This window comes from Homo sapiens, chromosome 17 (genome assembly GCF_000001405.40).
Source record: "Homo sapiens chromosome 17, GRCh38.p14 Primary Assembly".
In the NCBI taxonomy this organism is placed as follows: Eukaryota; Metazoa; Chordata; class Mammalia; order Primates; family Hominidae; genus Homo; species Homo sapiens.
In genome coordinates this window covers 32562292-32587878 of record NC_000017.11, presented here as the reverse complement: position 1 = coordinate 32587878, position 25587 = coordinate 32562292, and the positions used below count along the sequence as shown (strand labels likewise).

General features: G+C 41.7%; 1 protein-coding gene across 2 annotated transcripts in view, besides 2 other annotated features; it reads left to right on the top strand.

The window, feature by feature from the left end:
• Nucleotides 1–25587, top strand: part of MYO1D (myosin ID) — a 384603-nt gene that overhangs the window by 289246 nt on the left and 69770 nt on the right. The window lies entirely within an intron of this gene.
• Nucleotides 17495–17724: an enhancer, noted in NCBI's record as "active region_12036". NCBI's record gives its function as "activates an Ori minimal core promoter by ATAC-STARR-seq in GM12878 lymphoblastoid cells {active_cell/tissue: GM12878}" and the evidence as "EXISTENCE:reporter gene assay evidence [ECO:0000049][PMID:35858748]".
• Nucleotides 18245–18324: an enhancer, noted in NCBI's record as "active region_12035". NCBI's record gives its function as "activates an Ori minimal core promoter by ATAC-STARR-seq in GM12878 lymphoblastoid cells {active_cell/tissue: GM12878}" and the evidence as "EXISTENCE:reporter gene assay evidence [ECO:0000049][PMID:35858748]".

The following is a 25587-nucleotide window of genomic DNA, read 5'->3' as shown; positions in this document are numbered from 1 at the left end:
TGTTTCTGGCCCTGCTGCTGCAGCTGGAAGTAGCTGGAACAGAGGAGAGAAGGGAAGAAAGGAGAGTCTGTGCCCAGTGCATCTGGGCCGCCAATCCCACAGGGAAGGGAGGCTGAAGAGCAGAGGGAGGGGAAGACTAGGGGACCAAGAAGGGGTAGGCTGAAGGGTGGGAGAGAGGCTGAAGGCCCAAGAACCCCAGGTATTCACAGCCTCCATTGACCCTGCTAGTTCGTCCAACAAAAATTGGATAAACAAAACTCAGCCTTGTTAAATATGCAAATTTGGTAAATTTGGCAAACTAGTCATTCAGCAGATGACTTTTGGTGAATTCACCATTTGGCAAGTGACTTTTTTTTTTTTTTTTTTGAAACGGAGTTTCACTCTTGTCACCCAGGCTGGAGTGCAGTGGCACGATCTTGGCTCACTGCAACCCCCACCTCCTGGGTTCAAGCAATTCTTCTGCCTCAGCCTCCCGAGTAGCTGGGATTACAGGTGCCCACCACCACGCCTGGCTAATTTTTGTATTTTTAGTAGAAACGGGGTTTCACCATGTTGGCCAAGCTGGTCTCAAACCCCTGACCTCAAGTGTTCCGCTCACCTCAGCTTCCCAAAGTGCTGGAATTACAGGCGTGAGCCACAGCCCCTGGCCTGGCGAGTTACTTTTTACTCAGTGAATTGTCCTAGTTCTTAACAACTTTTCCTTTTTGCTTAAGTCACTATGAATTGAGTTTATGTAACTTGCATCCAACAGAGTCCTAACCTAATGAGTCTTGGAAAAACTAGTAACAAAAATGAGAGAGGAGCACTGCTTGTTGTTACAAGGGTAGGAAAGACATCACCGTTTAGAGAAAATGGTATCATGTTAAAGAAACTTGTTTTCATCATACCCATCAAGAAATAAGTTTTTGAAACGAAGAACAAGCATCAAGAGGGAATTTAAAGCCCAGCTAGGAAAAGAGGACTGCTGGATGCTTTATTAATTCACACTCCAGGCCAGATGACTCACATCCTGAGACACTGGAAAGCATCTTCATATGAACCCCCATTCACTCTCAGACATCTTTGAGCAGTCATGGAGAGTGGAAAAGGGCCAAGAGACTGAAGGCAGGTAAAGGTTTTCCTTGTGCAAATGTGAACACAGATGCAAAAATTATATGTAATTATTGTTGAACCTGACATAAATTTTCAGCAAAATTCTAAAATTGTCATAGTTTATACGTACTTAGAAGGGAAAAAGCAACCAAAGAAAGCATAAGTTCAGTGAGAAGAAATTGGGTAAAACTAACACAATTTTTCTTAAACAATGACTTGAATGAAGACATACTTACAAATTTGCAAATAAGAAAAACCCAGGAAGGATAACTTATATTTTGATGACAAGTTAGGATTCAAAGTATCTTGACAAACCAGAATAATGAGAAGAAACCACACAACTATATAAATGTAAAATTCTGCTTTGGGTTCAAAATGTCATTTGCACACATAGGGAATAGGAAAGCCTCTGGGCCCATTCTGTCCCCAAGATGCTAGAATCTGTGATACTTTCAGTTATAGGCAACACTAGAGTGGAGATGAGAAACTTACCACCAGAGAAGAGAGGAAGAGATCATTCTATCAGATTAATTTTTCCCCCTGAATTTTAAGAGGATGAGGGACATAGTATTTTCTAGAGCTTAGAACATGGACAAAGGCTCAGAAAACGAATTCTTATGGTTTGCTCAGGTGTTTCTCCATGGCATGCATTCCTTACCAGACCCTCTGCAAATCCCAGACTTCTCTGTTCAATGGGGAAAGGTTTGTTCTATTGAATTCAAAGACCGTCCTCTAACCTGTCTTAAAAAGGTAATAGCAATTGCTTCCTTTAGCTTCTCCTTGACACGTAGAGAAATTATTCCAAGCCTCCTTTTCTTCAATATTTGAAACCAAAAGAAGTAGCCGACATGATATTTATGGTCAAAAAAAAAGTTTTTTGCACTTAATATTTTTTATTTTTGGTCTTTAGCTGTCTCAAAAAAATATGGAATGTTGAATTTCCTATAATTGTTATGTATTAATTGTATAACCAGAAAAAATTATTTAAACATTAATACGAGACTATTTTATTTTAGACTGCCCTTCCTTTTTTTTTTTTTTTTTATTTTGAGACGGATTCTTGCTCTGTTGCCCAGACTGGAGTGCTGGAGTGCAGTGGCGCGATCTCAGCTCACTGCAACCTCCGCCTCCCACGTTCAAAAGATTCCCTTGCCTCAGCCTCCTGAGTAGCTGGGATTACAGGCGCCCGCTACCACACCTGGCTAATTTTTGTATTTTTAGGAGAGACAAGGTTTCACCATGTTGGCCAGACTGGTCTCGAACTCCTGACCTCAGGTGATCCTCCCACCTCGGCCTGTCAAAGTGCTCGGATTACAGGCATGAGCCACTGTGCCTGGCCAGACTGCCCTTTCTCACAGAAACAAAGCAACTAGTAGCCAGTAAATTCACATAAAATTTTCATAGTGGAAAAAATCCCCATGCAACAATCGCTGGTAAGACAGAATCATTACTAAATGAAGCAAAGAGTTATATCTGGTCTTAGGAAGAAAGATACCAGGCCTAGAATGTCATTTACAAAATGAAAAGAATCTGAGGGTATAAGAAGAAAAGAAATTTAGATATAAAATAGAAAAGGAAAGCGACCTTACAGAACCAGATGATTCAGAGAACTCTTTGTCAGAAAAAAGAAAAAAAAATGAGAGAACAATTTGTTAAAGAATATTATATTTCTTGCTAACCAAGACAAATGAAAACAACCCAAGCGCAGCCTAGCTAAATTATGCCATCAGAATTAGTAACTTTCCACATCTGAGGCTTCTTTGATGCATGGAAATTCTTGGCCTTCTGTGCTTGTCATATGCTTTGAATTAACAGACCTATTAGGAATGAGTATTTGACAGGAAACAGACAATGTGGCTTCCAGTCCTAACTCTGCCACCAGCTAGCTATAGGCCTTTGAGCAAATCAATGTTTTTTTGTCCCATAGTTTATCAAAAGACAGCTCCAAATTTGTTCATTCCTTTAAAATATGTATTTCTTTTTGCAAGATGAAAAAGTTCTGGGCCAGGTGCTATGGCTCATGCCTGTAATTCCAGCACTTTGGTAGGCTGAGGCAGGAGGATCAGGAGTTTGAGACCAGGCTGAGCAACATGGCAAGACTCTTGTCTCTTCAAAAAAATTTAAAAATTAGCAGGGTGTGGTGGCATGCACCTGTAGTACCAGCTACTCCAACTCCAAAGGCTGAGGCAGGCAGGAGGATCACTTGAGGCCAGGAGGTCAAGGCTGCAGTGAGCTATTCCAGCCTGGATGACAGTGTGAGACCCTGGCTCGAAAAAAAAAAAAAAGTTCTGAAGATCTATTTCACAACAGTGGCAGTGGAAATATTACTACTGAACTGTATACTTGAAAATAGTTAAGATGGTAAAAGAATAATGTAAAAGTCAGTGTTGGTTGGCCAGCATCATAGAAACCAGAAAAATCTATTTCTTGAGGTTCAGTCACATATCAGACATTTTAGACACAAGGATGCAAAGACCAACCTCCTGCCATTGGTTATTGTCTTATCAAGGGAAACAAATGTATCATGTATAATAAGTTTGTGGAAGTATAAAGAAAGTGGTTTAAAGCACAGAGGTAAAAGTACATCTCTAGATAGAAGCGAGATTTGGGGAAAATATCATAAAAAATAGGTAGTATTTGTTCTGGATACGAGAATGAAGATGGTCCCCAAAAGGTAGGACACAGCTGGACATGGTGGCTCACCCCTGTAATCCCAGCACTTTGGGAGGCTGAGGCTGGGGGATCACTTGAGCCCAGGAGTTCGAGGGCAGCCCAGAACTGCCACAGATGTTAGAAATCACCAGTAACAACATTAAAATAATTATTACAACTGTGTTTTAACAAAAATTAAAGATGTGCAAGATATCAAAAAAGACCCAAATAAGCAGGGCACGTGGCACATGCCTGTAATCCAAACACTTTGGGAGGTTGGGGCGGGCAGATCACTTGAGCCCAGGAGGTTGAGGCTGCAGTGAGCCCTGATTGTGCCACTGCACTCCAGCCTGGGTGACAGATCAAGACCTTGCCTCAAAAAAAAAAACAAAGAACAAACAAAGAAAAAGACTCAAATCGAACTTTTAGAAATGAAAACTATGATGTCTGATATTAAACTACAGTGGCTGGGAGTAACAGCACATTAGATATTACAGAACTAAAAATTGGTGAATTTAAAGACATAGCAATAGAAACTATCCAAAATGAAGCACAAAGAAAAGATAAATTTTCAAAAAATGAATAAGTCATCAGGGAACTGTGGGACAGTTTCAAGTGGCCTATATATAAAGGACTAGTAAGCGAAGTCCCCGAAGGAAGGAGGAGGACAGAAAAAATACTTGAAGAAATAATGGCTGAAATTTTTCCAAATTTGATGAAAACTATATAAACCCTTAGATCCAAGAAGTTCAATGAACCCTAGGCACAAAAAAAATCATGAAGAAAACTACACTAAGGCATATCACATTCAAATTGCTCAAAGCCAGTGATAAACATTGCTAGAGGAGAAAGACACATTATATACAGAGGAATAAGGATAAGATGACAGAGGATTTCTCGTTGGAAACAATGCAAGCAAGAGAGCAATAGAGAAACATCTTTAAAGTACTGAAGGAAAACCCCCTCTACCTACAATTTCATACCAAGCAAAAATAGCTTTCCAAAACAAAGGTGAATTAAAAGACTTTTCAGACACAAGAAAGATAAAACAGTTTATTCCCAGAAGACTCACAGTACAAGAGATGTTAAAGTCCTTCAGAAAGAATAAAAATATACTACATGGAAATATAGATCTCCAAAAATAACAGAAGAGCACTAGAAATATTAGCTACACAAGCAAATTTTTAAGATTTTTTCCTTGTTGATTAAATCTTTTTAAAAAACAATTATCTGTTTTAAAAATAATAGTAAAAGTAATGTGGGTGAATTCATGAAGGAAACATAGCAAACCTAAATATATATGGCCCTAAAAGAATTTCAAAATGTATAAAGCAAAAACGAACAAGGGAAAATGGAGAAATCTACAATTATATTTGGAAATTTCAATTCTTCTGTCTCCATAATTGATAGAACAAGTCAATAGAAAATCAGTAAGCATATAGAAAATGTGAACACTATCAACTGAGTTGAACTGAGTTGAACTAGTTACCATTTATAAAACATTCTGCCCAACAGCATCAGAATACACATTCTTTTCAAGTGCATATTTGCCAGAATAGACCATATTCTGGGTCATGTCACAGTTACAGTAAATATTATGTAAAAGCATTCAAAATCTCTGCCATAATGAAACATAATTAGAAATCAACAGCAAAAAGATCCCTGGAAAAATTCCTAAATAATTGGGAGCCAAATAACACACTCCAAAGTAACTTATAGGTCAAAGGGGAAATTAAGAGACATTAGTATTTTGAACTTCATGAATATGAAAACAATAACATTTCAAAATTCATGTAATGCTGCTGAAGCAATACTTACATGGAAATATACAGGACAATAAAATGCTTTTCTTTTAAAATGCGTAGATTTTAAAAGTCTCAAATCAATGCCCTCAGCTTTTATGTCAAGAAACTAGAAAAAGCCAGGCATGGGTGGCTCATGCCTGTAATCCCAGCAATCTGGGAGGCCGAGGCAGGTGGATTGCTTGAGTCCAGGAGTTTGAGACCAGCCTGGGCAACGTGGTAAAACCCTATCTCTACTAAAAAATTACAAAAAAATCAGCCAGCCATGGTGCCTCACGTCTGTAATCCCAGCACTTTGGGAGGAGGCCAAGGCAGGTGGATCACCTGTCCAAGACAGGTCAGGAGTTCAAGACCAGCCTGGCCAACATGGTGAAACCCCATCTCTACTAAAAATACAAAAATTAGCCAGGTGTGGTGGTGCACACGTGTAGTCCCAACTACTCAGGAGGCTGAGGCAAGAGAATTGCTTGAACCTCGGAGCAGAGGTTGCGGTGAGCCGAGATCGCTCTACTACACTCCAGCCTGGGTGACAGAGCAAGATTCCATCTCAAAACACACACACATACACACACACACACACACACACACACAAATTAGCCAGGTATGATGGTGTGCACCTGTATTCTCAGCTAGTTAGGAGGCTGAGGTGGGAGAAACACCTGAGCCCAGGAAGTTGAGGCTGCAGTGAGCCAAGATTGAGCCACTGCACTCTAGCCAGGGTAGCCAAAGTGAGGCCCTGTCGGGAAAAAAAAAGAGAGCGAGAGGGGCATGGAGAGGGAAAGAGAGAGAGAGAGAGGAAGGAAGAGAGAGAGAAAAGGAAAAGGAAAAGGGAAGGGAGGGAGGGAGGAAGGAAGGAAGGAACTAGAAAAATAAGAGCAAATTAAACCAAAGAAAGCAGAAGAAAGGTCAGAACAGAAACCAATGAAATGGAAATCAGAAAAACAATAGCAAACATCAGTAGTACCAAAATAAAATTGATACACATCTAGTAGGACTGATGAGGAAAAGCAGAAGACACAAATTCCCAATATCAACATGAAAAATGTGACATCAATACAAATTCTATCAATATTAACTGCGTAACAAAAGAATGTGATACAACTTTATGCCAGTAAATTTGACAGCTTAGATTAAATAGACTCCTTGAAAGACACAAACTACCAAAACTCACACAAGAAGAAATAGATAACCTGAATAGCTCTATGTATATTAAAGAAATTTAATTCATAGTTAAAACCTTTCCACAAGGGAAACTCCAGATCTAGATGCCTTTACTGGGGAGTTCTACTATAGATTTAAGAAATATCACCAGTTCTACACAAACTCTTCGAGAAAATTGAAAAGGAGATAATGCTTTCCAGCTCATTCTGAGGCCAGCCTTCGCCTCATACCAAACCAGACAAAGATAATACAGGAAAAGAAAACTACAGACCAATGTCCATTAAGAGCATAGATTTAGGAATTATAAGCAATATTTAGTGCATCCAATTTAGCATTTTATAAAATAACTAATCAAATCCAACAATATATAAAAAGGATAATACATTGTGACCAAGTGGGATTTATCCCAGGCATGCAAGGTTGGTTTAACATCCAATAATCAATATATGAAATTCACCAGATAGTCCGGGAGCAGTGGCTCACACCTGTAATCCCAGCACTTTGGGAGCCCAAGGCAGGCAGATCACGAGGTCAGGAGTTCGAGACCAGCCTGGCCAATATGGTGAAATCCCGTCTCTACTAAAAATACAAAAAATTAGCTGGGCCTGGTGGCGGGCGCCTGTAGTCCCAGCTACTCAGGAGGCTGAGGCAGGAGAATCGCTTGAACCTGGGAGGCAGAGGTTGCAGTGAGCTGAGATGGCACCACTGCACTCCAGCCTGGGTGACAGAGTGAGACTCTGACTCAAAAAAAAAAAAAAAAAAATTCACCAGATAAACAAACTGAAAAAAAAAAACAATCTCAGTGGTTGCAGAAAAAGCATTTAAAATCCGGCATCCATTTCTGGTAAAAAAAAAAAAAAAAAAAAAAAAAAAAAAAAAAAATCCTCTTAGCAGACTAACAATAGAAGTGGACTTCTACAACCTGGTAAAGTACATCTGTGAAAAAATCTAAAGCAAATATCATATTTAATGGTGAAAGACTGAATGTTTTCCCCTTAAGATAGGATTTAACTCTATTGCATAATTTTTGGATAACTGGTTTGTCCATTTTGGATAATTGTATTAATTGAATAATTTGTATTGTCATTTTATATTATCATGGTGGGAACAGTTTGGCAGTGTTTTAAGCTAAACATATCCCTGCCACATATTCCAGCCACTCCACTCCTAGATATTTATCTAGGGGAAATAAACACATTTATCCATATAAAGACATACACAAATGTTCACATCAAATTATTTGTAATAGCCAAAAACCGGGAATAACCCAAATGTCCATTAGCATTGGAAGATGGATAAGCAAACTGTTATATCCATACAGTGAACTACTACTCGGTAATAAAAAGAATGAGCTATTGATACTACAACATGGATGAATTTCAAAATAATTTTGCCTGGTGAAAGAAGCCAACCTGAAAAGTTTATCCATTTATATACAACTCTAGAAAATACAAACCATAGGAGCAGGAAGTAGGTCAGTCATTGTTGGGATGGAGAGTGGATAGGGAGGGGAAGGAAGTAGGAATTACAAAGCAGCACAAGAAACCTTTGGGGAGTAATGGATAGTTTGAGTGCAGTGATGGTTTCACAGGTATAATATATATTTCAAAACCTGTCAAATTGTATACCTTAAATATGTGGAGTTTATTGTATGTCAGTGATGCCTTAATAAAGCATGCCTTAATAAAAGTGACTAGAATCTGGAGTATAGGGAGGGATGTTCAGGTGAGACAGGGCCATGAATTGTGTATAGAAGAAAACAGCACGAACAAATACATAAAGGAACTATTTGAAAATACATTGGGCTGGACGTGGTTGCCCATGCCTGTAGTCCCAGCACTTTGGGAGACCAAGGCAGGAGGATCACTTGAGTCCAGCAGTTTGAGATCAGCCTGAGCAACATGGTGAGACCCTGTCTCTACAAAAAAATTTAAAAATTACCTGGGTATAGTGGCACACACCTGTAGTCCCAGCTACTCAGGCTGAGGCAGGGAAGGATTGCTTCAGCCCAGGAGGCTGAGGCTGTAGTGAGCTGTGACCATTCCACCGCACTCTCGCCTGGGTGACAGAGCAAGACCCTATCTCAAAAAAAGAAAAAGGGAAAAGAAAATAAAAAATAAAAAACATTGCCACTGTTCTGAAAACAGTGAGTAGTCCAGAGTGGCAAGATCAGAGATTGTGTTGAGAGGAGTGGCAAGAACTACCAGAAAGGTATGTAGATATGACCAGATTGTCAAGGAACTTGAAGGGAATGTAAATGAGTCTGAAGTTACGCCAAAGCAGGAGGAAGTCATCAAGGAAACATGTAGAGTGAAAAGGGGCCAGGATGGACCCCTAGGCAATTCCTACATGTAATAAATGGGAGGTCAAAAGGCAGGAGGAGACTTAGGGGAAGTACTCTCCCAGAAAGAAGACAACAAGGTCAAATGCCTCCGCATTAAAGGAGACCTAGCCCTAGAGCAGTCCCTTTGATTTGGTGACCTTTGAAAGCACCTTTTGTAAAAGCATTGAGGGTAAAAGCCAAATTGCATGCTAAAATTAATAAAAAGATTAAATGGAAGTATAGTCTGATCTTTAGAGTATTATCTCTTTCTATTACAAATTCTGTTATTTCAAACTCAAAAGCTAATTTTTCATACTGCACAAGTTCAGGAAACCCAGTTCCGAGGATCTGTTCTGTAGGTGAGAACCTGAAAATCTAACTGTGGGTATGTCCTAAACTCGGCCAGCTAGTGCTGATTCCCAGATGAGCAGGGTTCTGAAGTTATTATTCTATCAGGTGAAAGTAGTAACCTTGTAAATGTGGGTGTTTGATCCTGAGAAGATGGGGTATAGTTTCCTAACCTTATACACATAGGGAATCTGATATGCCATGCCCCTTGGGGCCCATTACCTATGTGACCCTCTATGATTTGATGGCAATTTATTGGACCTCTGGTGGGTTGAATAAAAGAACTTAGGACCATTAACAAAGGGAAATATTTTTACCACATAACTTATTTTATGTATATGAGGTTTCAAAGCTGTATTCTGCTATTCTCTTATATGCAGTTTGTGCCAGCCATCTCTTATGTTTTATAAACCTGGGCATTCTAATAGCTACCTCTAAGGTCTCTTTGAAATATGTTTCTGAGGCTGGGCGCGGTGGCTCACGCCTGTAATCCCAGCGCTTTGGGAGGCCGAGATGGGCGGATCACGAGGTCAGGAGATCGAGACCATCCTGGCTAACACAGTGAAATCCTGTCTCTACTAAAAATACAAAAAAATTAGCCAGGCGTGGTGGCGGGTGCCTGTAGTCCCAGCTACTCAGGAGGCTGAGGCAGGAGAATGGCATAAACCCAGGAGGCAGAGCTTGCAGTGAGCCGAGATCGTGCCACTGCACTCCAGCCTGGGTGACAGAGCAAGACTCCGTCTCAAAAGAAAAAAAAAAAAAAGAAATATGTATCTGAATCTTGAAAGTTCTGTCTGTTGGATTCTTATTTATGCTCTATTTTCAACTCTTACTAGTGAAAGCTAAATCACATTCTTTTTTTTTTGTGACTAGACTATGAGTCCTTGGTAAAAAAAGCTCAGTATTGCTGTTAGTTAAATGATAGCCATCTGTTCAGAAGAGCAGAACTCAAACCTAAAAGCATCCTTTCTGCAAAAGGAAAGGTATAAAAATAAACATCTCAGCACCTGACAAATGTTGATTAATCATTAGACATTATATATTATCTCTGTTCTAAATCACTTATCCTGGCAGGGTGTGGTGGCTCACACCTATAGTCCCAGCACTTTGGGAGGCTGAGGTGGGAGGATCACTTGAGCCCAGGAGTTCACGACCAGCCCTGGCAATGTAGCAAGACCCAGTCTCTACAAAAAACACAAAATAAAAAATTAGGCCGGGTACGGTACCTCATGCTTTTTTTTTTTTTTCCTGAGACTGAGTCCCACTCTGTCGCCCAGGCTGGAGTGCAATGGTGCGATGTCGGCTCACTGCAAGCTCCGCCTCCCGGGTTCAAGTGATTCTCCTGTCTCACCCTCCTGAGTAGCTGGCATTACAGGCACCCACTGCCACACCAGGCTAATTTTTTTGTATTGTAATAGAGACAGGGTTTCATCCTGTTGCCCAGGCTGGTCGCAAACTCCTGAGCTCAGGCAATCCACCTGCCTCGCCCTCCCAAAGTGCTAGGATTACAGGCGTGAGCCACCATGCCCAGCCTACCTCACACTTTTAATCCTAGCACTTTGGGAGGCCAAAGCAGGAAGATCTTTTGAGCCCAGAAGTTCAAGAGCAGCCTGGGCAACAAAGCGAGACCTCATCTCTATTTGAAAAAAAGATAAATAAAAATTTAAAAATAAAAAATTAGCTGGGCATGGTGGCATGTGCCTGTAGTCCTAGCTACTTGAGAGCCTGAGGCGAGAGGATCACTTAAGCCTGGGAAGGTCAAGGCTGCCGGGAGCTATGATCATGCCACTGCACTTCAGCCTGGGTGACAGAGCAAGACCTTGTCTCATTCATTCATTCACTCATTCATAAATAAATGACCCTTTTTAAAAAGAGGCAGTAGTAAATCAAAGCTGATATTAGATTAACAAAATATGAATGTTACCACAGAAACACATTTCTTAGGCACATGGACTACCATCATATGATTTAGTCCAATTAAGGTTATTTTGATATCCTGAATAGTATGTGATACATTATTGATATGTATCACAGAATTCTCTTTAGAGTTTTGTACTGCTTTAAAAACCTTGTCACCGTCCTTTTATAAGAGATTACAGTTAGATAGTCACAATTGTCCTCAGAAATTGTCCTTGGTAGTTGATTCTAATGCAGATTCCTAAATATGCTGTCCTTTGTTGCTTCTTAGATAGAGAAATAAGGTCAGGAGACCCAGGTTCCTTTAAATATAAAACCTTGTAGTTTACAAACTTGCCATCAGTCATAGTGCTTAGAACCTAAATAGCAAGTGGGGCAGAGTAGCAAGCTGGCAAGTTCTCCAAAGTTCTTTGGGATAGTAGATATTTTGACATGCTTCCTCTTTCTTCTCCTGACTCACCCCTGATCTACCTAAGAGTGAACTAATTTTACTCTGATTTTGTTCTTGAAGTCTACTAATGGATTCCCTTTAATAGGTAAAAAGGAGTCAAATATACAGCTTTTAGTGGTTTTGAGGTTCCTGTGGTTTTGCATCTTCACTGTTGTCACATCTCTTAGATGAGGGCATTGATTGACACACACCAAAACAAAAAGATTCTCCCTCAACAACAAGCATACTAGGAACCTACCTTTTAAAAGCCCATGTTTTCTTTTCTGTTGCCATGGAATGCTATCCCCGGCAGGTTGATTGCCACTACAGGTAGTTGAGCAAAGAATCATCTTGGTAATTCTGGAGTCTGTATGATGGATGTATTTCTGACCCATCAATCTAGCAGTCATCTCTCTGATGGGCAGGATCCAGGCAAACTCCAAAGAGAAGAAGCAGGAGCCATTGAAACATAATGGAGTGAAAACAAAGTTAGGAGAAACACACCCCAGAGGGAATGGGGGGTGAAGTCCATGGGATTCGCTGCATAAAGTGGAAAAAGGAGCAGATAGAGAACTCACTATGCATCTGATAGGACTAAGATAATAAGGTGGGTATCCATAAGTCACCCCAGAAAATCTCTTTCCTTGTACTATATAATCACACCACATGGAAAATTTTATTTAACCAAGCAAAATTTATTGTGGATGTAATGAACTTTCAATAAAGCCTCACTAATTTCAATTTTACTCTTTCAAAATTTTCATCAGTAAATTAAAGGATGCAAAAGAAATCAAATGTAAGGCTTTGTAGCCTGAGGCTGCTGCCTAATGATTTTTTAATGGATTGAGCTATATACAGACAAGGTAAATCAAAGGTCCTCGGATTGGAGCTACAGAAAGTAGGAAGAACGTTTGGCTGGGCCAAAAGTAGCTTTATTTAAATACCTGCTAATAATTTGAGTTTTACTCTAGAATGTTTTTTATCATGCTTAGTATTATGTGAAACAGTACATAAATTTGGGATTCTTTCATCAAAATTAGTGCTTTAGGTTTGATTTCTGTATATCAACATTTCATTGCTTTTATTAATAACAATAATACTTCCGATACTTCCCATCAGCTCCCACGATTATGTCAGTAACTTTACATAAACTGTCTTATTTATCCTTCAAAGTCACTGTATTACAAGGTAGACATATTTATCCTCATTTTACATATGAAGAACCCAGAGTTCAGAGCATATAAATGACTTGTCCAGGGTCATACAGCTAGCAAGTGGCGAGCACAGACAGATTCAAACCCAGTTTTTCTGACTTCAAAGCTCATGATCCCTGCAAACCACTGTTTTAGATGTTAGGACTAGGGAGCCTACACAGCTCACCAGGGATATGCTTCTTGACTTTGAGAGGGCTTCAGCTGCACCTCGTGTACCTTTACTTTTGTTTTCTCAATCTGTATAGTGAGCCCACACTCAGAAGTGCCAGGCTCTCTTTCTACATAAGTTAGGTGCCAAAGATACAGCAATAAGCAAGATACTATTTCTTACCACACTGAATTTTCAAATGAATAATTGAAAGCAAGTACAATGGTGATGAGCAGCATGAAGGAGAATTAAATGCTGTGAATAAGAAGTTTACTAAGAAAATGATTAGGAAAAGAAGACTTGCAGAAAGACAATTAGCCTGATTTGGAGAAGAATTTGTGGAGACGCTATTTACATTTGAAAGAAAGAAAACAGAATTTCTTTACTCAACATACTATAATTCAGACTAACCCACTTAATTTAAATTAGCTAGCTTTACAAAATTTCATCTTGGGTGCATCAATCTGGATAGTCTTTGCTAGTAGTGATACAACTGTGCACATGTATGTGAATTCTCTTCACTTATACTAGATGCTAAAAGACAAGCTTCTGTAAAGTACGGAGAGATAAGTATTGTCCACCTATAATTCTATTCCCAGCCAAAGTATCAGTCAGGTATAAAGTTAAAAATAAACAAGGGGGCCGGGCGCAGTGGCTCACACCTGTAATCCCAGCACTTTGGGAGGCTGAGGCGGACGGATCACGAGGTCAGGAGATCGAGACCATCCTGGCTAACACGGTGAAACCCTGTCTCTAGTAAAAATACAAAAAATTAGCCGGGCGAGGTGGCGGGCGCCTGTAGTCCCAGCTACGCAGGAGGCTGAGGCAGGAGAATGGCGTGAACCCTGGGGGGCGGAGCCTGCAGTGAGTCGAGATTGCGCCACTGCACTCCAGCCTGGGTGAAAGAGCGAGACTCCGTCTCAAAAAATAATAATAAAAAATAAACAAGGGATAAAATATGGTCAGAGACCGGGCACAGTGGCTCACACTTGTAATCCCAGCACTTTAGGAGACTGAGGTGGAAGGATGGCTTGAGGCCAGGAGTTCAAGACCAGCCTGGGGAATATAAGAAGGCCCTGTCTCTAAAAAATAAAAAATAAATAAATTAGCCGAAAGTGGTGGCACATGCCTGTCATCCCATCTACTCAGGAGGCTGAGGTGGGAGGATTGCTTGAGCCCAGGAGTTCGAGGCTGCAGTGTGCGGTGATCACACCACTGCACTCCAGCCTCGGTAACAGACCAAAACCTTCCCTCAAAAAAAAAAAAGAAGAAAAACAGCACAGTCAGAGCCTTTCACACACACCCTTTCCTGTGAAGTTTCCTGAGGATATATTCCAGCAAAGTAAGGTAATAAAACAGGAAAGAAGAAGACATGAGAGTCAAAGGTAGCAGATCCAAATCAAGAGAGAAATAGAGTGGCAGCTGTGGTACAGACTGACAGAGCAAGAAGACACGGGGCTCTGATGATTGGTACCTGTGAAATGCGGGGATTCAAGGGATTTTATTCAATTCTAGACCATGGAAGAGAAAAAACAATTGTAAGTTCCAAGCAAGAAAATAGAACATATTTGGGGACATTATTTAAATAGTGAATAATAATTATAGGTTTGCAGAAATAAAACATTCTTTGATTTCCAACTTTTAGAATTAATCTTAACCAAAGTATAGAAGCCTTAATTAAGGCTACAGAACACCGAGTTGATAATAGTCAGTATTTTTTCAATGCCTTGTATGTGCCACGCATAGAAGGTGATTGGGATACAGGCAGTGAACAAAACAGTTCTTAAAGGGCTCTTATTCTAGAAAGGGGTATGAACGCTAAGAAAGTACAAACAAGATAATGTCTGGAGTGCTGTGAAGACGCTGAAATAGGGTAACATGAAAGAGCATAGCTAGGGAGAAGAGGTTGCTTTTGCTAACATGGAAAGCCTGTCAGAGAGTGACCCTTCAGTTAGGATTTGAATGACGAGAAGAAGGAGAAGATCTGAGATGTCACCAAGCAGAAAAGTAAAGGCCCTAAAATGGAAATTAGCCTGTGACAGTGGAACGATAAGTGCCTGTGTTGCTGGAGCAGAGTGAATGAAGGGAAGAGTATAGGAGATGGAAGTTAGAGATCACCCAGGCCAGATCATTGAAGGCCTCGTGGATAATGATAAGGGGATTTTAATAAGAGGTTTTTTTAGCAAAGGGGGTGATGTGGTCTGACTTATATTTCTGAAAAATCACTCTGGCCATTTTGTGGAGGGTGGATTATAGCAAGACAAGAGGGTGGCTGGTCCTAAAATTAGAAGACAGTGGCTTGTACTAACATTTTAGCCATGGAGATGGTGAAATATATTTGGAGGTAGAAATGACAGGACTTATGTGGGCGAAAGGGAAAGAGAGGATTTGTTTGTGGCTGGAGCATCTGGGTAGATGGAGTAGCACTGGCTGAGAGTGGGGTACTTGGGAAAAGAGCATCTTTGGGAGGTAAAATCCAGAGATCAGTGTTGGAGATGTCACAAAGGAAGCAGCCTCAGCCTCTGGTGTAGAAGTATAGCTGGTGGGAGGTGGGCGAGGGGGAGTAAAAGTGCTGGAAGGAAGGTGGAGATACTGGCATCAGCACCTTAGAAAATGGGAAATACAGAGAGAGTTTCTTGTTGATGGAACAAAAATAAAGGATACATATATTATTTAATGTGGTCAAGAAGTAATACAACTATTGATGAAATTACAGATGAGGAGGAGAGCAGGGGTTATTAGTGATATGAACCTAGGTCTGTTGTAAAAGGAAGTCAGTGGATATATATCAAGTTGATAATTTCAGATAAATTGAAGTTGATAAATTCAGAAAGGTAATATCAGCCTGTTATTTAGTGTTTGGAGTTCACCATAAAAAGAGCTAAAAGTAGAAGCAATTTAAAGCAAGCACAAAAGAACCAGCAGTGGGTTAAGGGACTGTTGCTTTTCATTTTCTTCAGTCCTCTGCATGGGTTACTTTGCTAGAGTAAAATGGTAATATTCTTAATTGCCTCGACAAAATCAGATTTTCTGGATGTGAAAAGGAAGTGATTTTTGATTTCCCAAAATTAATTGAACAGGGGAGAGAGAGTTTGAAAGTCTTATTTCTTCAATATACCACCAAGAAGTTTTCATTTTAAAATATGCTAGAAAGTGGCAGTGGATATGCTACCAAGTGTCCAAAGAAATGGCTACTTCCTTTCTTGACTTATAGAAGTTTCCACCCTTTTAATTTAAACCCAATTCTCGGTCCTCTGCTACCTTCTGGAGAACAAGGAATTATCAACGCGACCCCACCAGAATTTACAGTTTTTCTAGGCCATATGGCAAATTTAGTGGAATTGCAAGTTCCAGGAAAGGAGGAAAGGCTTGATACAGGGAACAGCCCAGGGGAGCAGAAGAAAGGCAGCAGCAGGAACAGATGCTTGGAAACTTCCAGTGGAGGGAGGGCCAGAGGCGGGGTTGCCAGGGTTAAAAACCAGAAGAGTGTGGTCAGTTTTTGACCATTTACCAACCAATGAGGTTTTCTTTACCCGTTCGTTTGCCTGCTTCCACGCCCCACTCCCCCACATCTCCTCTTCCCTCCTGGCTACCCTGCATCCTCTTAGCCCAGCAAGCCCCACAGATACTTCCCACTGATTCACCTACTCTAGCACCAGTGGTAGAAACACCCTTTAAGGTCTCTCTTCCAAGGGCCCTTCTGTGCATTTGTATTTACTTTTCCCTCCACCCACCCATCTTGTGACTTCTGAGTCCCCTTTTGCCCAGCACTCCCCCTCCAGCACTTTTCCTCATGGGAGCCAGCCCTTTCCATAGCCTCAAGTGGAACTAATCTGTCACTTCTTTCTCTTACCTTCTATTCCCGACAACAGACATGTGTGCTTGGTGACTTAGATTCATATCTATAGTATTAATAGACACCTTTAGGATATGCATGTTAGAAACATGAATGTTGTGTTAAGTTTCCTGTCTTAGAACCCAGAACTTGGCATTGTAGAATCCATCTGTGCAGATCAATCATATCAAACTGGGATGTCACTGAGTTTTTAGAGGTTTGTGAACTTTACAAGAGTCGCTTTGAAAGGAGCTTTGAAAGCATGAAGAATGTTTGTTAGAAGAGCCTTAAAAAGTGTAATAACCGGCCAGGCGCAGTGGCTCACGCCTGTAATCCCAGCACTTTGGGAGGCCCAGGCAGGCAGATCACAAGGTCAGGAGATCGAGACCATCCTGGCTAACACAGTGAAACCCCGTCTCTACTAAAAATACAAAAAAATGTGGCGGGTGCCTGTAGTCCCAGCTACTTGGAGGCTGAGGCAGGAGAATGGCATGAACCTGGAAGGCGGAGCTTGCAGTGAGCCAAGATCATGCCACTGCACTCCAGCCTGGGCGACACAGCGAGACTCTGTCTCAAAAAAAAAAATTTTTTTTAATGTGGTAACCTTGGCTTACCATGCATGAGGGTTGATAGGAGGAAACTATCCTGTACCCATTCTACAACCAAGGAAGTTTGATTAAATGTAAGGACAAATTTTTGACTGTCAGAGACTGATTACATGATAACTCCTTGAGGGCCCTCTGGTTCTGGGTTCCACTGTCTCTTACAGGCAATTGGTGAGGGTGAGGCATCGTGAGACTCTGAGGCTGGAAGGAACTTAGAGATTCCAGCCAATTCAGCACAGTGGTCAGACTTAAACAGAACTCATCCCTAATTGCTCAGTTACTGCTCTGTTTGTAAAGACCAGCAGAGGAATATATTCCACAGTTCCCTTGGTGATTTATTTAATGATCTTAAACATCCTGCTCAGGAAACTTGGTCCTATTTCTAACCAAAACTGCATCTGCTGTGGTTTCTTCTAGTTCTCAGAGACTGTGGGAAGCAGCTGTCCCCATCTAGTGACTTGCCCTGTGATACCTTCACACACTCATCCTCTGACCTTTTATCTCTCCTTTATTCCCGGATCTTATTTTCTGGCTCTTTAATATATTCAAGTTATACGTGCTAAAGATCAGCAACAGTTCAAAAGCTCTCGGAGCAGGATGACTACTGTGTTGCATTTACTTTCTCAGTCTGTAAAGCAACTGGAAATTCAGATTTAACTAGAGAGGAGAGTTACCAATCATTGCTCATCTCTCCAAGACTAATGCTTTGGGAGAGAAAAGGCATTATGGAGGCAGGGAATTCACACTCCTGGGCGTCTCCCATTGCTCATCCAGTGGGAGGTGACGGTTCCCAGTCTCAGTCTGGGGCACTTCCTTTCACTTCCCCTGGGTGTTCACCATTGTGAGGAACAGGTTAGATGGGGAAGAGCTGCACAAGAATTTCACACAGTGTCTTTTCTGTGGCAGATACTATTGCAGAATTGGTCATGCAGGTCTGAGAACACCACATGTAAGTTAAAGTACAAGAGGCCTGTGTGTCCTTGGGCCCAGTGCACCTGCAAACACTTCCTCGATTAGTCAGCGCTTAGCTGACTTAGTGTCTTGGCCTAGAGCAATACTATCCCCAATTAACAATGGAAGTGAAATATGCCCATTGCTGTCTTCACCCAGAGAAAATAGATTGCTCATATATTACTTCTTCCATACACTCACATGGAAATCAGCTGAAGTTTCTATGACACCAGGACAGTCAGCAGCTCTGCCATAAAACATTTTAGTCATAAACATCTATTTATAACACAGACCTCAATGTATTTATTTAAAAGGCACCAGATTATCTAGTCGTGGGATTTATTTATTATCAACTGACAGTTTCTGAACACGAAGGATGTACAAAACACTCCTCTACATATTGGGGGTGGCCACAAGGATGACTTAAACCCCCCAACCTCAAGGAGTTCCCAGTCTAGAGAGGGCAATACACATAAAAACAAATGATGACTGTGTCCAGTCAAGATGCATAGGAGCATAGAGGCTGGACCTGTAATTCCAGTGAGTAGGTGCAACTGCACTTCGAGCTGCTCTGGAGGTGTGTGCACTCACTCTTCCAGAAGAGAAGCTGGAAGGGCTGAGGTCTGGGACAGAAAGCACGGAAAGGGCAGATCCCTCTCAGAGGCTGATCTGGGTGGGGAAGAGTCAGAAAATGTGGGTTCAGTTCAGATTGCCAAGGACCTTCTATTCCATGTGAGGTGACCACAGATCCCAGTTTCCCAAGGTTTATGTCTGTTGCTCCAACATAATCATCAATAGAGCTGCGTCCTTTAACTCTCAAGAGTGTCCCAGATAGATGATAAGTCCCACAAACACCTGACTTATACAGCTGTGCAAAGGGGGTTGATAGGTTATATAAAGCAAATGAATGAATCAGATATGTGTCCTGGAAAGATAACTCCAGCAGCCATGAGAAAAACAGTTTGCAAAGGGATGAGACTAGAGACGGAATCTCTCCATACAGACAGAAGTAGAATGAAACATACTTGCCTTGAAAACTAACCATATTCTAAACATGGACTTGCCTAAATGTTGGTTATAAGATTGTCTCTGTTTCCAATGACAATTTTTTGAACTGTGTCAAGTTGCATAGATGTTCTGAATGTCTTTTAAGTTCTCAGTAATTTTCAGAAATAATGCTAGCTGCCTGACACCAGCCTTTTTTTTTTTTTTTTGTAATAACGCAGAAAGATAAAGAGGATTCTGATAAATACCTGGGGGAAAAAATCTCAAGACTCTTTTGGGAAAAAGGACTTAATGTTGCAGAGGAGCTCTGATCACCCAGGTTTGGTGCAGAAGTTTGCGTGACCTTTTTCTAGGAAGCTGCCGCTCACCATTATTGCAGCATACCTTTTGCATTGTTTTGCTAGTCTTGCAAATAGGTTTCACCAAGCCACCCACACTTCCCAGCCATCTTTCCTGAAACTACTGAATGCACCTCTGAGATGGATTGGGGTGTAGTCTCCAAGGCACAAAGCTGAGTTAATTGGACGTGGAGACTGAACCTGTAGCAGTGGCCTCGTTAGCACCACTGAACTACCCGGACACAGCCTCAATGATGCAAGGCACTTTTGGTAAGATGCTTCCTGTAGGTGTCCTTCTGTGCACATATGCTCCCTTCTTCCAGGGCTACTTGGACTTGATGACTAAGAATGATGAAAGAATGAGACCCTACAGTGGCCAAGTCATCCTGAAGGGACTGGCCATGACTGAAGCCCAAGTTCTTAGCATGTTCATGCTTGAGAAGCAACACAGCACAGGGCAGAGAAAGAGTACAAGGTTTGGAGTGAGATTGGTCTGTGTTTAAGTCCATCCCTGCTACTTACTAGACAAGAGACATCAGACGTTACTTAACCTTTGTGTACCTTATTTCCTTCCCAGGATTGTGACGACAACACCTGCTGTACCTGGTGGTTGGGTTTGTGTTAACCTAGCCAAACCCCCAGCACAGGTGTGGCACATGTAGGTGCTTAGTTGACGGTGGCTGATTTTATTAACTGTTGTCATAGTGATTATTACAGAATAGGTTCTGTTTAAATACATTCATTCGCTGAGTCAGCATCTATTTCTTGAGCACATGTCACTTGCTGAGTCGTGTTCTCTGCCCTAGGGATATAGCCATGAACAGGATAAACAAGGTTCCTGTCCTCAGGATGCTTAGACAAATGCTCTAATTCAGCTCTTCTTTTTTCATTTCCTGCTCAATTTATTGACTTCTGCCACCCCTTCATTTGTTGCCCTTTCCCAGCATCCTCTACCTTCAGCCAGAAACCCCTGTTTTCTCAGTAGCTTTGTCCTGTTAATATCCCAGAAGCCTGCAGCCGCATCATCTGCTCCTTTTTGATTTCCTCCATTCTGTGAACATGGATGGAGCACGGGCTTTGGAATCAACCGTTCTGCCCTCAGTCCCAGCTCTGCCGCTCCCCACCTTGGATGCAGAGGCTCCCATTCCTCTGTTGGAAAGATCACACAGATGTGTCTCAGAGGCTTGGTACACAGTGCCTGCCTGATTTGGTTAAAAAGAAGCTTAAAAGAGAAAGACCAAAGAGGGAAGCTTTTACAAGTTGCTTTTTAAAGCTTTGGAAGTTTGTGTTTGAGGCTTCAAACAGATAACTAATTAAGTTCTAGCACTCCCTGTGATTCGGACAACAACCGTAACTACTGTCATGTTACTACTATTAATTGATTCTATTTGGTTCCAATGACACGAGTCAAAAAATGTTTTCCCAACTGTGGTTGGACTCAGTTGACTTTCCAATCATATCACTCCCCTCCTTCAGTGGCTACTCAAGATCAGGTCTGAGGTCACTCCCACAGCCTACACGATGTGGCCCCACCTCCTCACTCTGCATTTTCCTGCACTTACCTGCAGGCTCACCTGCAGGCCACAGCAGCTTTCCTTGGCTTCCTCAAGGAAAGCCCCTCACTGCCTACCTCAGAGACAGCTCCGGTGCCGTGCCCTGTGCCAGGAATGCTGTTCCTAACCTCTTCCCCAAGCCCCCGTGCATCTTCCAGGTTTCAGCTTAAATGCTACTTTCCCAAGGAAGCCTTTTCCTGACCCTCTCCTCAAACAAGTCTAAGTCCTCATGTTAGTGTCGTCTTCTAGCACTCTGGTTTTCTCCTTCATAACACCACAGTTGTACTTCCTTTTCGTATACTTTTTTTTTATTTAACATCTGTCACTTTCAGGGGGTTATAAGGAGCACATGAGGGGAGGACTGTGTCTACCTCCCCGTCTAGAAGCACAGGAACTATGTGTTGAATGAATATATAGGAAGCTGTAGATGGATTTCTTATCACTGCATATATTCAATCTTAGCTAGAAACACACTCTGAAGGCCGGGTGCGGTGGCTCACATCTGTAATCCCAGCACTTTGGGAGGCTGAGGTGGGTGGATCGCCTGAGGTCAGGAGTTCAAGACCAGCCTGGCCAACATGGCGAAACCCTGTTTCTATGAAAAATACAAAAAAAAATTAGCCACACCTGGTGGCACGCACCTGTAGTCCCAGCTACTTGGGAGGCTGAGGCAGGAGAATCACTTGAACCTGGGAGGGGTTGCAGTGAGGCAAGATCTCGCCACTGCACTCCAGCCTGAGCCACAGATGGAGACTCTGTCTCAAAAAAAAAACACACACACTCTGAAACAGGTGTGTGGAATTGACCTTCAGATCTGGACTTCCTGTTCAGATGCCAGTGGTAACAAAGTCATTACTTGATAATGTTTACTGATGGCCATGACCTAGCTCAGTTCAGTCCTGAGTAGATGGGCATTCACAGCAGCCTACTTAGCAATTATGTCACCGGCCATATGAAGACTGGCCACTCCTGAGAGCAGAGGTGACAAAGCAGATGATCGAGGGCTAAGGGCTGAATAGATTCCAGAATCTGAGCAGCCACTTTCACCAGGTCATATCTCCAGGGTCCAGAGGTGAGGTTTTAGGGGGATGGAGGTGGGAGCTGCATCATAAAAGTGAGCAGTGCCAGGGTGCCTTTCGTTGCTACAAGGAAGAACCCTATCTTAAAGGAGCAGTTTTTGCACATGAAGGTATTTTCTTCAGGCTGGGTGTGGTGGCTCACGCCTATAATCCCAGCACTTTGGGAGGCCGAGGCAGGAGGATCACCTGAGGTCAGAAGTTGGAGGCCAGTCTGGCCAACATGGTGAAACCCTGTCTGTACTAAAAATACAAAAATTAGCTGGATGTGGTGGTGAACACCTGTAGTCCCAGCTACTCCAGAAGCTGAGGCAAGAGAATCGCTTGAACCTGGGAGGCAGAGGTTGCAGTGAGCTGAGATTGCGCCACTACACTCCAGCCTGGGTGACAGAGCAAGAAGCCATCTCCAAAAAGAAAAAAAGTATTTTCTTTTTCTTTATAATGAAATGATGTCTAGTTATATGCATTATGAAGCAGGAAGAGTTATCATCAAGGGTGATGGACTGTTTAACGTAATTGTGAGATGGGGGGTATGCTGTTTCTAGAATTAACACAGATTGACCTTTGTAACAGTGACCACAAAATGCAGACAGGCCTGATGGGGATTTGTTCCTATACTCTTCCCTGTAAACACCACATGGCTTGGAGCCTCAGTTGATGCCTTAGAGTCAGGGTTAAAGGTGCAGCTATGTGGAAGGGCTTCCAGCTCTTTGTTATGTCTTGTGCTCACTGCTGCTTTGCCACTTACTTTGTAGTCGTCTGTCTACTTAGTCCATCTCCCCCATTAAACCACAAGTTCATTGAGAACAGGGACCATGTCATAAATATATTTGACTCATCCCTAGCACCTAGCACAGGAAACACTAAATAAATACCGAAAGAGGGAAGGAAGGAAAGCAGGTAGGTCAGTAGGCTCTGGTTAAGGGAAGGGATGGTGTAGGGTTCACCCTGGGCTGTACACTATGCTCCAGCACTGACTGTAAAGCCACTTCATAATTGCTAAGTAGAGGGTGTCGGCTTAGAAAGGAAAGGGACCACATGCTGACCAAGATTTTCCCAGGTGACACTGTGAAGGAAGCTGATGTCAGCTTCACATCCAGACTTGTGTGAGTAATTAGAAACTTCAGAGGGAGGGTAAAGAAAATCTGCCTACTAGTTGACAGCCCCCTTCTCAGCCCATATGGATCAACTCATGAAGGGGAAGAAGCAGAGGGCATGAGGATCCATTCCCAGGTTAGCCTGGGCTCTGCTTACTGCCCCCAGGCAGGGCTCCAGCACCTGCAGGCCAGGGACTCCACAAGGGTCTTTGGAAGCCACTATTGCAAAGCAGAAATACTTCTGTACATTATCTGCTAATTGTCCATGGGCAGGCTGGAGGCAGCAAAGTGGCTTCTGGACCCCTACAGATAAATTTCAGCAAAGAGATTTTAATCAATTGATGGATCGATCTCACTGTCTCCTGCTACTTGCATATTCCCTTGCAGCCTTTAGCCCAGCAAGAATTGTAGTAAACCAAGATCAGCATCATACTGAATCAAAAGGGGTTTAAGAAACTAAATACGCTAAGTCAAATGTTTTAATAGCTTATCTTAAACCAATATGTAGCAGTTTGAGGTGTGATTGAATGCCACGTGTGCAGCAAAGGGACAGGGTGAGGAATGAGGAAGCCACGCGACTGTTCAGCTCCTTCTCATGAAGTAGAACTCAGTGTACTGTTGATGGCTCCATTTGAAATGAAGTTGAACTTCTGTTTTTCCAAATGTTTGTTAACTATTTGTATGTCTTTTTATTGTCCGTTTTCATTGCAATTATAGTTCTCCCACTGACGTTAAGATGCAGGTGCTGAAGCACACACAGATCAATCTCATCCTCCATCAATGCATTTATATATTTAGAAATCACCGTAATTGCAGGCTGGGTGCGGTGGCACACGCCTGTAATCCCAGCACTTTTGGAGGCTGAGGTGGGTGAATCACTTGAGATCAGGAGTTCGAGACTAGCCTGGCCAACATGGTTTGAAACCCCATCTCTACTAAAAATGAAAAAAAAAAATTAGCTGGGCACAGTGGTGCGTGTCTGTAATCCCAGCTACTCAGGAGGCTGAGGCAAAAGAATCGCTGGAACCCGGGAGACGGAGGTTGCTGTGAGCCAGGATTGTGCCACTACGCTCCAGCCTGGGCAACAGAGCAAGACTCTGTCTCAAAAAAAAAAAAAAAAAAAAAGAGAGAAGAAAAAAAGAGCTGTAATTGCAAAGAAAACGGAAAATAACAACATATATAAATAGTTAACATTTAGAAAAACAGAAGCTCAACTTCATTAATAATCAAAGATGTCTTAACAAAACAATGAGATACGATTTTTCCTTCAAGTCAGTATAATTTATTTTGATAATAGTCTACATTCACGAGAATGCAGTAAGGTTCTGCATTGATATATTGCTGCTGAGAGGTAATTGATATAAATCTAGAAAACCATTTGAAAGTATGAACTGTCTTTCAAATGCCCCTCCCTTTAAAAAGACAAAGGAAATACCATAAAATGTTAATCATAATTATTTCTAGGGTTATGTTGTACATTTAGAATTAAAGGGAAAAAATAACATTACTAATATTTTAATGCTCACATCATTTTCCCTAACAATCTCCTTTTAAGAAATATCCTGTCCGGGCATGGTGGCGCACGCCTATAATCCCAGCACTTTGGGAGGTGAGGCAGGAGGATCACTTGAGGCCAGCCTGGGCAACATAGCAGAACCTCGTCTCTACAAAAAGTTTCAAAATTAGCTGGGCCTGGTGGCACGCACCTGTAGTCCTAGCTACTCATGAGGCTGAGGTAGAAGAATCACTTGAGCCCAGGAGGTCAAGGCTGCAGTGAGCCTTGATCACACCATTGCATTCCAGCCTGGGCAACAGAGCAAGACCCTATCTCAAAAAAATTAAAAATTTAAAAGGAAAGAAATATCCTAAGAAAATAATCAGAAATATGGGCACAATTTTATATGTAAAGATCCATAAATAAGTTATTTATAAATAGTAAAAAACTGGAAACAGTCTAAATGATTAAAGAATGAAATGAAATATTTTGCAGCTTACCTTTACAAACTTTTTGATGTCAAAGGAAAGTGCTTATGATAAAAT